A 17,082-nucleotide genomic window follows, 5' to 3' on the forward strand; every position below is an offset into this window, starting at 1 on the left:
ACCACATGACTTATTTTTAAATTAAAAACCATATTGAAATGTATTTTTCTGGTTGAAGAGAGTTTTATTCTAAAAAGAAAAAATGTCTCTGAAGCAAAAAAAAAAGAGAAAACATATGCTCTTATGTTTGCTCAAGCAGAATTTACCTCTGCAACTCATATAATTGGTGCTATAATTATGTACAGATATATTTTGATACTTCAAAGAATCTATAAAATTCCCTAAATGAAAATTATTTTAGATTAAACATGATATTAATGATCAAGACAGCTTTTTTTGTTTATAAGCAAGTTAGATTATATTGCTTATGAAAGTTTTTTTGTATTTTTATTCCATGGATCATGCAAAAAATCATACTAGACAATGAAAGGATATCGTGTTTTCTCCTTTTTGCCTTATTACCATTTTTTTTCTGCGCTTAGTTCTGCCTTTGCTATATAGTGTGGAAATATAAAGAATTACAAGAAATGCTCAGATGTCTTTTTCAAACCTCCAGGTTGCCAATATATTCACTTCATCACTCTCATCTGATTCCCACACATTCCTCTATGATCCTACAGAGCAGTATGTTTGTTGTAAAATCTAACAGACCACCCAACTATGGTTTGCAACATCAAACCGTCATGTTTCTTGTACACAATATATTAGAAAATTGGGTTTTTACGTATCAGAGTAGAAATATATTTCATACATATTTGAGGCATACTGTTATATTCTTAAGGAAATAATATTTAATTGAACCCACATGATTTTTACTATGATGTAATTACTCACTGACCACCAAGTCTACAGCCAGCCTCTACCAGAATCAAGATACACATAGGTAAATTATTTTGAATATCTTTTGAAATCTGGGGTGCTCAATTTGATCCATGCATATTACCTTAATTAGTATACATCTATTGGTCATTGCCATACTTTTTAAAATGAGATATAAAATTATACAATTATCTGTAAGTTCTCTACAACATCTTTTCCTAGCAGCATTTTACAGCAGACAGAGGAGGCTGCCAGTAGGTAGACAAAACAAAAAATAGAAACACTTCTTCCTAAGCATACTTTTTTTCACATGTCATAACGTGAATCTACTATCATTTTTTAGTTTTACTTTTGTATTCTGAAAAAATGTTAAAATTGGTTATTACCACTGTCTCTCTGTTCTTTCCTAATAATGTCTTTTTCCTCTATTGTCAGCATTTTAAAAAACATTCTTGATCTCTAACACCTTTCTAGAAAATTCTGCTGACAAATTAAGTGGCAGCTTAGAACAAGAGGAGATTTAAAGAATTATTGTTGATAATGAAAACAATGAAATACGTATTTGGCATGGGCTTGTTGCACGTTGACAATATATCATTGCATAAATGTTTGAAATATTTTTCCTTTATGAAATAATTGTCATCAAGATCGAAGCTATTGAATATATTTGCTGTATAGCATTTTGTATAAAATAGATTTATATTGCTTTGAGCTGAACAGATATTTTCAATGAAATTGTCCTTGGCCAGCGATGTTATGTCCATCTAATACCTTATCTCTTTCCTCTTCTCTTTCCCCAACTCACATGCAACTGAAAGATGCTAGAAGTTAACAGTTCTGGTAAAGTAGTCTTCTAAAATCCTTTTTCATTTATGTCTAGAGAAAAAAAGGTACCAAAATTCAGGACAGATTTTTCTTCAAGGTATCAAGAGTAGACCATATATATTTTTTCAATAAATTTATAAAGCTATATTTTAGAAATCAAAAAAGAAATATTTGCATTAAAACCATTATTCCCTTAAATTTTTAGAGGATTCTGTTTGACTTTGGCGTGAATAAAGTCCATTCTCTTATTTGCAGTGCTATTAGATATGAGGAGTTTTAGCAGAGATCCTGGAACAACTGCTGCCTATCAGGGTGTGAAATCAATGAGATGGATTCCAGTAGAAACTATTTACTTTGCTATATCTCCTCAATATATGTATATACAAACAAGATCTTTGACACTGGCTTGAAATCCACAGCAAGAGGTACACCAGGAAGCATCAAAAACTATTAAGTATATACAAAAATAGTTGAATGCATACCTCAGTTAGCAATGTTAACAGGGTTTGTGTCCCACAACCATTAGATTTTGCTACCCACAATTATCAGACCAAATTAAAGTAATATGAGCACAACATCTCCACTCAAGGACAGTATCATTGCAAATTTCTGCTCATTTCAAAGCAATATAAATATGTTTTATACAAAATGGCACATAGTAAATGTATTTGATAGCTTAAATCTTGATGCCAATTACTTCATAAAGGAGCAAATATTGTCAAATATTTATGTAATGATGTATCATTAGCATGCAGTTTGTGTTCCTTTAACATAGTAAATGCTTTCTTCTGAGAGAAAAGGGGCCTCGATTCTTCTATTTACTCATTCTTGCTGGAAAATTTTGCAAATATAGGAAGAAGAATGAATCTAGTAATTTTTTTTTTTTTTTTTTTGGCGGAGTTTTGCTCTTCTTGCCCAGCCTGGAGTGCAATGGCACGATATTGGCTCACTGCAACCTCTGCCTCCTGGATTCAAGCGATTCTCCTGCCTCAGCCTCCCGAGTAGCTGGGATTATAGGTACGCGCCACCACTCCCGACCAATTTTGTATTTTTAGTAGAGACGGGGTTTCTCCGTGTTGGTCAGGCTAGTCTCAAGCTCCGGACCTCCGGTGATCCGCCAGCCTCGGCCTCCCAAAATGCTGGGATTACAGGTGGGAGCCACCGCGCCCGGCCAAACCTAATAATTCTTTAGAACCTCTTTTGTGCAAGCCAGACATTGTCCTAAGCATTTTAGAGACACAATCTCATGTATGTGTTTGAAAAATTATCCCTATGAAACTAATGTTTCTAAACTGTGAAAGATACCTCATTTGCTCCTTTAAATTCATGTGCCACTTTTTCCCATTACCTTTTTTAACATACATTACGTCTTCTGGGTCCTTTGACTTATAAATGGCCTCAGCTCATGGTGAACCCTTAACAGGAGCTGCGAAGGATGAAGAGTTAGACCAGCATGCTAATTCATCTTGCTTCTTCCCTGTAAGTAGCTACATCTTTAACCACTGATTCGAACAAAGCACAGACTGTACAGGATGTTTTACTCCTGATTTTGAGTAATGCACCTTCTCCTTCAGATGTCCTTGTGGTAAGGAAATGGCTGCTAGGAAGTGACAGATTACTTCGCTATCCTTTCTGGTATCTCTACCCCAACCCTAATCCATCCACTTGTAAATTAACCCTTCAGGAATTATACTAGTCTCCGTGTTCTATGTGCACTGCTTATGAACTGACATCTGTATAAACTATTGAGAATTCGAGAAGCTTAACTCAAACATTGTTTGAACATCTTATGGAAATAGAGGGTGTGTCTCCACATTTCTCCACATGAATATTAAGAGTGTTGATTTTTACTATGTTGATTTTTAGCTTCTGTAAAGGTAATTTTTATTTTTATACTTATTTTTATTTATCATATGACTATTAATTGCTCCCAGGTAATGTGGACTAAAAGGGCTTTCTTAGTTTACACACACTCATGCACACACATACACAGATATGTATGCACACACGTGAGACATTTGCAATTGTAAAACCTACTACGGAGTAAAAAGGAAAGGGCATAGGCAAAATGCCATGGCTTGCCTACAACTACAATTTGGATATTAGATATTTATCTTTTGTTCTTTCTTCATAGAACTGCTTTGACTGCTCAGGCTTTTAGGGGCTCCAAATGAATTTTAGAATAGTTTTTTTTTTTCTAATTCTGTGGAAAATGGTATGCATAGTTTCGTAGGGATAGCATTGCATGTGTAGATTGCTTTGGACAGTATGGTCATTTTAACAATATTGATTCTTCCAATTCATGAGCATGGAATAATTTTGCATTTGTGTCATCTATGAGTTCCTTTACCAGTGTTTTATAGTTTTCTTCTTAGAGATCTTTTGCCTCCTTGGTTAGATGTATTTCTAGGTATTTTAATTTTTGTAACTATTTTAAATGAGATTATGTTATTGTTTTCAATCTTAGCTTGAACGTTATTGGGGTACACAAATGTGACTGATTTTTGTACATTGGATTTGTATCCTGAAGCTTTCCTGAAATAATTTATCAGTTCCGGGAGCCTTTCGTAGGAGTCTTTAGGTGTGGGATAATATCAGGTGAAGAGAGATAGTTTGACTTCTTTTTCTATTTGGATGTCCTTTTTTTTTTTCTCTTGCTGATTCCTCTGGCTAGCACTTTCCAATCTATGTTGAATAGGAGCAGTGAGAGTGGCCATCCATATTTTGTTCCAGCTCTTAAGGGAATGCTTCCAGTTTTTGCCTGTTCAGTATGATGTCAGTCATGGGTTTGTCATAGATGGCTGTTATTAGGGAGCATGTTCCTTTAATATCTAGTGTCTTGAGAATTTTTATCATGAACAGATGTTGGATTTTGTTGAAATATTTTCTGCATCTCTTGAGATGGTCATATGTTTTTTTGTTTTAAATTCTGTTTATGTGGTAAATCACATTTATTAAATCCCACATGTTGAACCAACCTTGCATCCCAGGAATGAAGCCTACTTGATCTTGGTGAATTAACTGATGTGCTATTGAATTTGGTTTCCTAGTAATTTGTTGAAGATTTTTGCATCTCTATTAATCAGAGATATTGGCCTGTAGTTTTCTTCATTGTTGTGTCTTTGCCAGGCATTGGTATTAGAGTGATGCTGGCTTTGTAAAATGACTTGTGGGGGAGTCCTTTCTTCTTAATTTTTTGAAATAATTTCAGTAGAATTTGTAACAACTCTTCTACATACGTCTGGTAGAATTTGGCTGTGAATCCAGTTGGTCCAGAGTTGTTTTGATTAGTAGTTTTTTTTTTTTTTAATCACTGATTCAATTTCAGAACTCAATATTGGTCTGTTCAGTGTTTCAATATCTTTCCCATTCAATCCTGGAAGATTGCATGTTCTCAGGAATTTATTTCTTCTAGATTTTCTAGTTTGTGTGCATAGAGGTGCTTATAATAGTTTCTGAGGATCTTGTATTTCTGTGTGATTGGTTGTAATGTCACCTCTCATTTCTGTTTGTGCATAATTAGACCTTCCCTCTGTTCTGTTCATCTAGCTAGTGGTCTAACAATCCTGCTTATATTTTCAAAAAATAAACTTTTGGTTTTGTTAATTTTTTGTATGGGTTTTGGGGTCTCAATTTCATTCAACTCCACAATGATTTTAGTTACTACTTCTCTTCTGCTAGCTTTGGAGTTAGCTTGTTATTCTTTTTCTAGTTCCTCTAGATGTGATGTTAGATCATTAGTTTGCAATCTTCCTAAATTTTTGAGGTAGGTGTTTAGCTATAAACTTTCCTCTTCACACTGCTTTCATCATATCCCAGAAATTTTAATATGTTTTGTCTCTCTTCACTTATTTCAAAGAATGTTTTTCACTTCTGCCTATATTTTGTTGTTTGCCTGAAAGTTATTCAGGGGCAAGTTGTTTAATTTCCTTGCAACTTTGTGATTTTAAGGTATCTTCTTGGCATTGATTTATATTTTTTCCTCTGTGTTCTGAGAATGTGGTTGGTATGATTTCTATTTTTTTTTTGGTTTATTGAGACTTGCTTTATGGCTGAGCATGTGGTCCATCTTGAAATATGTTCTATATACAGATGAGAAAAATGTGTACTTTGTCGTTGATGAATGGAAAATTCTTTAGATGTCTGTTAGGTCCAGCTACCAAATGTCAAGCTTAAGTCCAGAATTTCTTTGTTAATTTTCTGCCTTGATGATTTGTCTAATACTGTTGGTGAGTTGTTGAAGTTCCCCACAATTACTGTGTGGGCTGTCTAGGGCTCCTTGTAGATCTAGAAGTATGTGTTTTATGAATATGGGTGCTCCAATATTGGGTGCAAATATAATTAAGACAGCTTAGTCTTCTTGTTGAATTGAACCCTTTATCATTATGTAATGCCTTTCTTTGCTCTTTTTTACTGTTATTGTTTGAAGTCTGTTTTTTCTGATGTAGGATTAGTGACTCCTGCACTTTTATATTTTCCATGTGTGTGGTAGATTTTTCTCCAACCCTTTACTTAGAGCTTATGGATGCCATTACATGTGAGATGGGTCTCTTGAAGACATCAGATAGATGGGTCTTGGTTTTTATTTTTTTAATGTTGATCATATTTTAGAAAGGTATTGAGAAAAGTTGTCTTTCTGATAAATGTCATACTTTAGTAAGTAACAACTTGAGATTCACATCACAGAATTTGCCTTAGAGGTTGAGCAATAATAGCTTTTTGTTGACTAGGCTTGTAGCTTCTCTAAAATTTCAGAATCTGGCCGGGCGTGATGACTCATGCCTGTAATCCCAGCATTTTGGGAGGGCGAGGCAGGTGGATCACGAGGTCAGGAGATCGAGACCATGCTGGCTAACTCGGTGAAACCCTGTCTCTACTAAAAACACACAAAAAAATTAGCCGGGCATGGTGGCGGGCACCTGCAGTCCCAGCTACTCAGGAGGCTGGGGCAGGAGAATGGCGTGAACCTGGGAGGCGGAGCTTGCAGTGAGCTGAGACTGCACCACTGCACTCCAGCCTGGGCGACAGAGCGAGACTCCATCTCAGAAAAAAAAAAAAAAATTATCTCTCAAAAAAGTTGTATATGAAACTTTTTTTTATGTTTTACTAATATGAAGATGCATAGCATATAACGGACAAGTAATAAAATATTAGTTCCCTTTTCAGGGGGAGTTTTTGTTAATTTTTGCCAAACTCTTAAATCCATAGATAACTGACTGCAATTAGCAAATAAATAGAGTTTCAATATGAATATTGGTTACTATTTTTATATACGTTAGTGGTTAAAGTGAAATTAAAACCTTTACTTGTTCACCAATGATACACTCTTCTGAGAATCATAATTTTTTAATACAAGGATAATATGTCTGTGTATGTTGGGGCAGTTCATAATGTAATGGTTACAGACATAATTTAAAAAAAATTTGCATTATTAACATACTTTTATTCATTCTTTATTTTTACTTTTATTAATTATTTTTATTCTACACAATTAACAAAATACTAAATCGAACCCTGATACGCGGTGTTAATTTTCATGCTGTAAATACTCTCTTCATGACTGAATTACAAGCTACAACCTGAGGCCATTAATAGGAAGTTGGAGAGATGCACATTAGCTTGCCATTATATAGTGTTGCCACGATACAAACATCATCTATGTAAATATTTTTGGTAGCATAAATCACAGCAAAATATAGCGAAATACTTAGGAAATGATGAATTTAAGTAATTTGTTTTCCTTATTTTTAATATAATTTAATTATAAATTAAAAAGTTTATTTTTAATAATTTCTGTGTCTAAAAAGGACCTCAGAATATTTCTAAAAATTTAATAGTTGGATCTCATGAGTTGATATGAGATAGCTCTCAAACACAATTGTGTATAACTAAAAAGTCTAGAATTATAGCTAGTTTTAGAGTCAGGAAATAAAATGAAGTGGTCAGAATTTTAATTCTCTCATCTAGGGAATAGCTAGGATTTAATTTTACATCTAGATTGGGTCACATGTTCATATCTGGACAAATTAATTACAACCATCCAGTTAGAATACACTAGTCAGAACTGGGTCATGGACAACTTCTAGAATTTGCAGATTTATCAGGTTCACCTAAACCACATTGATTCAAACTTAAAAACATTATTCCATCAAAGAAAATTGGCAAAAAGAACTGCTAAACATTTATTGCATACTCTTTCCAAAAATATACACCTACAGTATAAAATACTAACTAGTAATGAGAATATGTTTATTGAAAATTTACTATATTTCAAACACTGTGCTAAAAACTTTTACATATTATCTCATTAGATAAAATAAGACTATCATTAATATTATTTATCTTCATTTTAAATATGAGTAAGTCTCTAGTTATATTTTTCTATTTAAGATCATATATGGAAAGTATTAGGATGGTGCAAAAGCAATTGTGGTTTTGCCACTAAAAGCAATGGCAAATTACTTTTAGTTTGTCATAGTAGATTGTAATATGTGTTAAAATCTGTATTCCAATCTTGACTCCAAAACTTACATTTTTACATATAGAATGCAACACACTTAGTGAACCCCACATTCTCATCATTAAGAGTCCATTCACTTTTGTTCATGGCACTCTTGATCATAGTGTCATAGAATATTTTAGCTGCAGAAGAAAGCTACCCATTGCCTAGAACATGAAAATAAGTGAGAGGTACTATGAATCTAGGATAAAAACAGTAGAACATGGTTCTAATGTATGAAGAATGTCTTCTTTAGGAGATCAATAAATAGTAAGTTGATTAGACAAAAACATGTGATTGACTAAGTTTGAATAATGAAAAAAAGAGAAGACTAGAGTGGCAAGTAATAAGCCGAAGCTGGGGACACATGAAAAATTAGTAGAAAAAAACTTATCGAAAGAAAAAGTTGCAAATGCCTTTATTTTTGTTTATTTTAGGTCTATATGGCTTGATTAAGCTTTTCTTCCCAAATCCATATATTCCAGGTAGATACAGTGAACTTCATTAGATTTGCTTCCAATAGTTTGTAGTCATTGTTTAATTGGGGAATTTACTGCTACTCCAAATATCATATGGAATCCCAGTCATCTCTTAATGTCTTTTTTAAAAATGAATTTGCCAATATTTTATAGGTAATACAAGGCCAGAATAGTAAAATGATCCAATAAAGGCAAGCTAACTAATCAATTAATCTGAAAATAAAATTGTCACCTGAAATTCTACTATGTAGGGGTCATTGCTGTTAAAACATTAGGGCCCTCCACTATTGTGGGGCCAATTTAGTTCTATACACTTTCTGATATTCTCAACTGTGTCACTATAACTTGTATCCCTTGTCCCGAACACCAAGTCTTTTTCTTATTCTTCTACTCTCTCTAATTCTTAAAATTAGACCCAACATTGTCTGAAGGAAGAACTTGGGGCTGGGAATTAGGATCTTATCAATGAAAATGAAGTAATCTAAAGGTCACTGGATATCTTTAGATATTTATTTACATAGATGAAATATGGCTAGCAACATAGTTAGAAGCATAAGATATTGTGAACAGAAAATAAGAAGATGAAATTATCTCAAATAGGAAGTATAAAAAAAATCAAGGACATCGGAAGTGAGCCTGGGGGAGCAAAGTTTACTCTATCTTTTAAATAATAATTTTCTTTATTTCTTTTAATAATACATTCTTTAGAAATCATAAGGCTAGGTATTAAAACTTGTGATACCAGTGTGCTCAAATTATGTCTACCATTGGAGATTCTCACTTTTATTTTTTGAATTTATATTTTAGAAAAAATTACCTGTCCCTGTTTAAATGTATATTCATCCCAATATAAAATACATAAATAAAATGATATAGACTCAATACTTTAAAAAAAACTTAAATTCTAACATTCTGTAGTTCTTCCACATCTCATTTGTAAAACAAGTAACTGATTTTTAAATTAATGCCCTATAAATAGGTTAAATTTATTTTTAAATTTGCCCTCCAGAGAAAAGGGTTGTAGCATTTTATTTTTAACACACAAAATCTATCTAGATATTGAAAAAACCTTGTCATTGGCAGATATTCTAACAGATGATCTAACCACTGATTTTTGCCTATGATTTATGGCAATTTTTTATTTGAATCTGTAGGATGTAAATACTTTTTACGCTGAACAAGTCACCAAACAGTACAAGACTTTAAGCTAAAAGTAGCTAGGAAATACATAGGGAATCTTAAGGTGTTTGAAACAAAGATTTTACGACGCTTATCGTCTGCTGAAAGAAAAAAAATCGTTTCTTCATTTCTGATAATGTCAGAATAGATAGGCCATTGTTGCACACATAACTGAGTCTGACTGTAAGAATGAATTATCCCAAGTGAAATCCTCTAAATGCTTACTTAACGCTATAGGATGAAAAATTGCAAGCAAGAAAAGTTGAAAAGCAAGCCTTGGGGGAAGGAAGAGAGTATCAACATCACAATGAAATCTGCATTTGGCATTTTAAGTAGGATCCTGTAGCAGGATGTAGAGGAGCCTGCTGTGTTTAAAAATGATCTTTTGCCCTTGTGTGTATATGTTTCAGCATTGAAATAATCAGTCCTCTTTCAAATATAATTTGATAGCATAATTAAAGTACCCCACTAGCACAACTTTTGAAGCTAAACTTTTCCTTTTTCTTGTGCACTTAGAAATTTTTTCACTTGTATTTGATAGCCCAGACCAATTGACTTAGAATTCCCTGCTTGATATTGTAAAGAATTTACTTCTATTTATGTCTTCTAACACATAAAATGTTCTAAACTGTCACCTCTAGTTATGGTAGCATGTAGGCAATGAAGCCTAACAGGACATCTGACTAAACTAGATGTGACATGTTAGTATCACAATACATCAAATTTGATATAATGCCCTTTTTTCACTTTACATTATAAAATATGATTTTGCTTTTTCGTACTTTTTGCTTTTCTTTTTAGATTCAGTAATATATAAAAATATCAAGTCTTAAAATTTAGTGAACCCAAGACCTAACGCCTTGAAGTAATTAACAAATAAGACACCATGTCTTTGCCTGTGCATATGCATTTAAACATATTTATTAATACAGTCATGTTGGAGGGCGTGATTTACACAGCATCTTTTAGATATTCAGAGGTTACTTTGGAGCAGCCTATACTTTTGACCTTTAGCAATGTTCTTGCAAACCAGTCATTCAATTCTACTGGAATGAGATTAAAACAATCCAAGTATGGCTGGTATTCATATGCTTCTCCTTGTTTCCCTCTCCCCTCCCACCACTCCAAGGCTCTGGTAAAGACATTTTTGTTTTTGTTCTCCAGTCTCCTTATATAGGTCTAATCTATTACTCTTTATTCAACAATGTGTGTATATTGTAGTGACTAATTTCTTATTAATTCCTCTACCGAGACTCTTCTGCAAAATTCTTGAGAAAATGAATTCATTAATTCTTCTTAAATTCTGGTTGCCGTTTATGGTTGGCCCTTAGATTTTGGGATTCAAGTCTACCATTCACAGCCTAGAGAGACAAACATGATAGCAGTTGTTTTCTTTTGGATAAAGGAGTTAAGATTTCTTCCATATAAACAGTTGGGGAAAAAGCAGACATATTTATTAGGCCCTATTTAAGAGTTTATTCACTCTGTTTAAAAAAATCATTAAAAACTTCAAAAGAAAAAGCAAAGACAGTGTGGAAGTAACTTTCAATGCTGAACATTGAACATTGAAACTTGAACATTAAAGCTTGAACATTGGCTTACAAACACACCAACAGAACAATTATTATATGTATGTAACTTTGACTGTATGAATTTACATGCCAACTTGTAGATTTCTTTGTAGAAAAGAAAACATGAAAGATTAACGTATGGTTTTATAGACCGTTAACAAGAGCTGTATTTTATCTACCAGTCTTATTTTAACATTTCTCCCCACATCATCTTTGTATGCCAGTTCCACAAAATGTATTTTAAACCAGTTTTACCTTCTTTTTGGTTCCCTCATTAATGAGTTGTATATAATCTTAAAATATGTTTATCCTAGGTTTGTGTGAGAATTATCTTTTTAGTATTAAACTTCTAACTTTTGGTTATGCCCCAGATAACAGAGGAAAAGAAATGATTATACTTGAAGCATTTTTTTATTCCAATTAATCTCCGTAGTAAATCTATTAAATTTAGCTCAAGTTACATTTGTGGAATGACTACTTATACAGGTAATGTGATAGCACCTGAAAGGGGAAAGGTTTCCTTGTCCCTCTTGCAGGGCATGTGACAGGGGAAGTGGCTTGCTTCTTCAGTGCCCTGCTGCTCAAACCTCTCGAGGAGGATACAGATGGGCAGGCTGCAGGGCTCCGACCCCACAGCAGTGTCCAGGGGTGAATGTTTACAGCTCCTGAAGCCCCAGTGGGTGAGTGTTTATAGGGTGCTCTTTTAGTTTTGCCATCTATAGGGTTGTGTTAACCAACTCAATTACACGCCCTACCTTGCTGCAAGGACAGAGGGCTTTCTGTACCCCAGGTTCTTGCCTTGATGTACTGGAAGAATTGGCTCACACCTGGGCTTGGAGAATGAGTGCAAGGTTTTATTTAGTGGCAGTGTCTCTCAGCAGATGGGGGAGCCAGAAGGGAGATGGTTTTTCCCTGATGTGGGGCCGTGGAGCTTCTCCAACTGCTCTGGCCAAATTCTGCATCATTCTACTGGCCGATGGCCTGCTGGCCTGCCGGTATCTTCCACCTGCGTGCTCCTGTTGACATCCTCTGGATGTCTATCCGCTTGTGTGTCTGCCTGCTAGGGTCTCAGAGATTTTTATACATACAGGATGGGGGCATAGCATTCAAGGGTGGTCTTAGGAAATGCAACATTTGGGCAGAAGGCAGGTGAAGCCCTAGCCAGGGACCATGCCCTCCTTTACCCAGCACTTCCCTTCCCCACTTCCGTATCATTTAAAGGGATCATGCCCTTCCCTTCCCAGCACTCCCATATCACAGCTACTCATAAAAAGTGTCTACCATCTGGTCGCTTCACTCCAAGAGATCCACGTAAGAAAATTTAAAAGAAGATATACAAGATAATAAGTGATAAACATTTATAGATAGTTATAATAAAATGGATCATAAGAAAGGTGAAAGGCTGTAGAAACTGATTAAATAAAAATAACGTTATCTACAAATTCAGAGAATATACCATTCATACTAAAAATTAAGTGCATATTCAACTTATGTTAAAAATGACACTGTAACCACTCTTCTACTCTCGATGAAGTCAACTTTTCTGTCAAATTTAAAGGATGATACTGTACAGCATTTCTCACTAACCATATTTTTTCAGCCTTTTTCTTTCTACTCTAACAGCCCTTTAATGTTCTCAAAATTCTTGGCTGATGCCTCTTACTTAATGCACCAAGCATTCAACAGTCAGCTACTTGGAATGTGACGGGTATGGTGGATATGGATGTTTCTTCAGCCATTAAGGACATCAATTGTAACTGAACAGTAACCACAGACAAAAAGGCTTATGAGATAATAACTAGTTCTCCACAATTTAACACTCTCAGTGAAAACCACCCATGACTTAATAATGTAACATTCTTTATTTTGGTAGAAATATGAAAAAAATCAGATTCATAATACATTTGTCTTGAATTTTTTTTACTCATAAAGAAGAATTTTATCAGGAACGCTCATGACTTCTACTGCCTCAGCTTTCTCTTAGGCATGATTTTAGATGAAAAATGTTTCTTAAACGAGGTTTTATATTGATCTCCCATTATACTCAAGTAGTCCCTAACATAAAAAACTCACAAGTACATAGTAAGTTTGAAGATAACAGATTTGTAAGTTTGATTTTCAATAGAAAGTACTTTATCCTAATTTACTTAGAAGAGAATAGCATATTTAGAAATGAAAAATAGTTTTCACTTTTTAATGCAACTAGTTAAAAATAGTTAACTGATTCTCATAAGGGGAAGGTATTTTGTAGTACTTAAGACAAAAATGATATACTTGTAAATATTACAGATACATTTTAAAGTTGACAGAGTATTCTCAGCCATTTTAAGTTATAATCTGTCAAAGACAAAATTATGCCACTACAGAGGATCCAAGATTATAGGTCTGATCTGTCAGTCATGAAGGTTTATAACAAATAGTATAGATTGAAGCAGATCAAGCATGAAGTCCAAGAAAATCGTCTAATGCTCTGTTGTATTGGCAAATTCCAAAGGTGTGGAGACTATAAAATTAGAAAGTGGCAAGTGAATAGTTTGAGAGACTGTGGGCTCATCAATGGAGACATGACATAAACAACAGAATTACTTTACAAAAGGAAAATGGACATTTTCCAGAGACTATCATCCCACCTCTAATTGCTTTAACTAGTACACAAATGACTTCCTAAGATGACAAGTATCAATCTTTCATCAACCTTTCTCTGCAGTGATGCATAAAACAGATGATGTTAAGATATCCAATGGAAGTGTCAGGGTCAATAACATAGGACATAATAATATAAAATCACTGCAGTACTTATTCCACTGTTAGAAAAAAAGATAACAAAAAATAACATACCAGATTACTGGCGTTGAGGTTGAGCATGACTTTGCAGGAATGACCAGGGCCTAAAATATGCCTCTCATTTATTTCAATGAGTATTTATGAAGCCAAAACTCTCTTCATATATTAGACAAGGTGTTGGAGAAAAAAGAAAGAAAAGAGACGTGTGGTCCCTCCCTGCTGTCACAAAGTTTACTCAAGTAACGTGTACTCAAGCAAGGAAGCAGCATAGCATATTGCAATAGTGTTTCAAAAGGAAAATACAGGTTAACTGCAGCAGCACATTTAGGAGAAAACAATTTTCCAGGAAGGACTTTTGGAGACATAGTCATTACAGGAGTAATTACTCATCATACTTAATACATACATACATTTATAATAGGTTGTACTTTTGCATACTACAATTCAAATGTGCCAATTTATTTAGCCTATAAGAGTTTATTTTCTTTAGTCTATATGACTTTATCTTGCCCCATTACTCCTATTATTTAAAAAAAGAGAAGAAAAATACATACATACATATGCATATACACATCTATATGTATATGATAACTCAGTCTCTACTGATTTAAAAATAGTTAATACTAATCAATTCAAATATTCTCTCAAAGTCAACCAAAATTAATAGCCTCTGCTCAGAAATCATACATAAATCTAAAGTCTTCACACTTATGCTGTACCTTCATGAATTTTTGTTTATGTAAATCAATATTTTATGCCAAAAATAGAATGCTTCTTAGAAAATAATTGAAAGAAGGAAATTCATTGTATAACAGAAGAGTAGCAGTTGATTGAGACAAAGAGATTGTTATATGCATGAGTTAAAATGCTTAATTGTGTTGGATCCTATATCAGAACTAATTTACTCTCTTTTTAGGTTAGCATTGAGGTGAATCCCTTGATGATAAAGCCATGTCATCACCTGTTTTACTCTAAACAAAGACATTTATAAAAATGGTAAACCTGATTATATTTCATAGTATTCAGAAAGATTCTTGTGTAAGATTATTAATTTTTACAATGCTCCTATTGTCAGCTGAGGTAAAATTAATTAGAACAACCGTATCCTAGGAAAATAGAGTCAATGAGCAAAGATTATCACATATTTAAAGGAAATAAGAGCAGATGAAAGCTGTTCCTGAGGAATGAAGTAAAGAGAGTTTGAGACGGTGGAAGATGGAACAGGAAGAAAAAAATAAGATAAAATGGTGACATCTCTTAAAATTGTTTTGGAAGGGTCATTTACACACTATGGATGAATAGCAACTTATTCCTAGAAAATGCTTGTTGCCTAGGTTGTGCAAATTCTCAGTTATGGATAGATTTAGTTATTGATCAATCATACTGCTTTCGAGAATTTTAATCTGTTTAGATTTCTTAAAAAGTTCCCATGTATATAAACAAAGTCCATTTACTTGATGGCATTATATTAGCCTTAGGATATTTGGAGGACTTGCATACTTGGAGACAAGGGCATTCCAGATGTCAGATGTTTTCAGGACAACCCTCTCACCCAGTGAGACAGATTGTATGTTTTTTCCACTGTGACTTGCTCCGATTTATATTTCCTTCAGCCCAGAAAGGATTATTGTAATATATCAAGTTCATCAGCATTTTTTAAATTCTTACATTAATCTATTTAAGTTGAGGTTCTATTTTACCTCAAAGATATCTATTACCTGTATTTATCTATCCAATCGAGTTCTTGCCACATATATATACTTTTTTAATTCTGCAATTCCTCTGAAGTTTTTAAGAGATCTTTGCTTGCTGGTTAGAATAATCCTCAAGTTTTTCTAATCATAGCACTTTTATTTTCTCATTCTTCTGATTAAAATTCTATCCTCTTCATTTGCAAAGGTGAATATATTTGGAACTGTCATCTCCAATGAATGAAAAGCAATTAGAAACCCTAGAAAAGATATTTGAAATAATTATTACAAACCATTTTATAATTTGTTAATTTTTCCAGATTTCTATAAAAAGCAAATGCAAATAGGAAAGAAACAAGAACTGGGCTTTCATATATTTTCCAATCTGAGCTGACTTCAAGACATGAAGATTAACTAGTGGTAAACAAGAGAAAATAAATTTAAAATAAGGAGGACAAATGTAGAAGTTATCAAAGATTACAATTTTTTAAAATCTCAAAGCTTTTGTTGAAAGAGGTTCCCATCAAAGGAATTTGTATCAAAAAGAAAATGAATAAAGCTGAAATGTAATTAGAATCAATGAGAAAATATCAGAGCTGGAAGGACATTAATAAATCCTTAGTAAAAATAGCATTATACAGATGAAAAAAAGTCAGGGGTCAAGAAACTTAATTGATTTGTCTAAGGTCATGTTATTTGTCAATTTATTTCCAAGACCAGTGTTTCTCCAAATAGAGATTAATGAAAAGAAGAAAGAAAAAAGAAGAAAAAGCAGTTCTCCACATTTTTTTTTTTTTTCTGCCTGGAGGTCGTGATTCATTTGGTGTGGAATGGAGCATTCACATTTCCTGTTTCCTTGGCTAACAGCAGAAAACTATTAAATGGAAGAAAATAAGATGTGAACTGAAGTGGCAGAAAAAAGTAAATGAAAAAAAAAACAGAACAGGAGACTTTGTTTTTGGCAGTTTTTTAATTATACATATATCTCCCTCAGCAGCCACATGAGGAGGGCCGGCTGGGTCTTTCTCCATTCTTTGGGCGAGTATATTTCAAAATATGTTTAAGAGACTATCACATCCAAATCACCAGAGGGGAGATCGTAGCTAGTCCCAGGCTTTTTTCCACGTAACTTAGTAAAAATCTCTGTGAATAGTTCCCCAAATTCTGCATTTTTAACAAGCTCCCCGCTTATGGAGCTGTCTCCTTGAGTGCAGGAAGGACAGGCTGTTTTACTTTATAACTGGGACAGCAAGTACAGATCCTGGTTCGTAGGAGGTGCCTAGAAAATACATGAT

The 17,082-nt window shown here is 33.7% G+C and overlaps 1 annotated feature.

Moving 5' to 3' along the window:
- Positions 9,771-10,406: an enhancer, noted in NCBI's record as "OCT4-NANOG hESC enhancer chr20:26141485-26142120 (GRCh37/hg19 assembly coordinates)". NCBI's record gives its function as "activates a minimal SCP1, AML or CMV promoter by ChIP-STARR-seq in primed H9 embryonic stem cells {active_cell/tissue: H9 hESC(primed)}" and the evidence as "EXISTENCE:reporter gene assay evidence [ECO:0000049][PMID:30033119]".

Source organism: Homo sapiens, chromosome 20 (genome assembly GCF_000001405.40).
Source record: "Homo sapiens chromosome 20, GRCh38.p14 Primary Assembly".
Taxonomy (NCBI): Eukaryota; Metazoa; Chordata; class Mammalia; order Primates; family Hominidae; genus Homo; species Homo sapiens.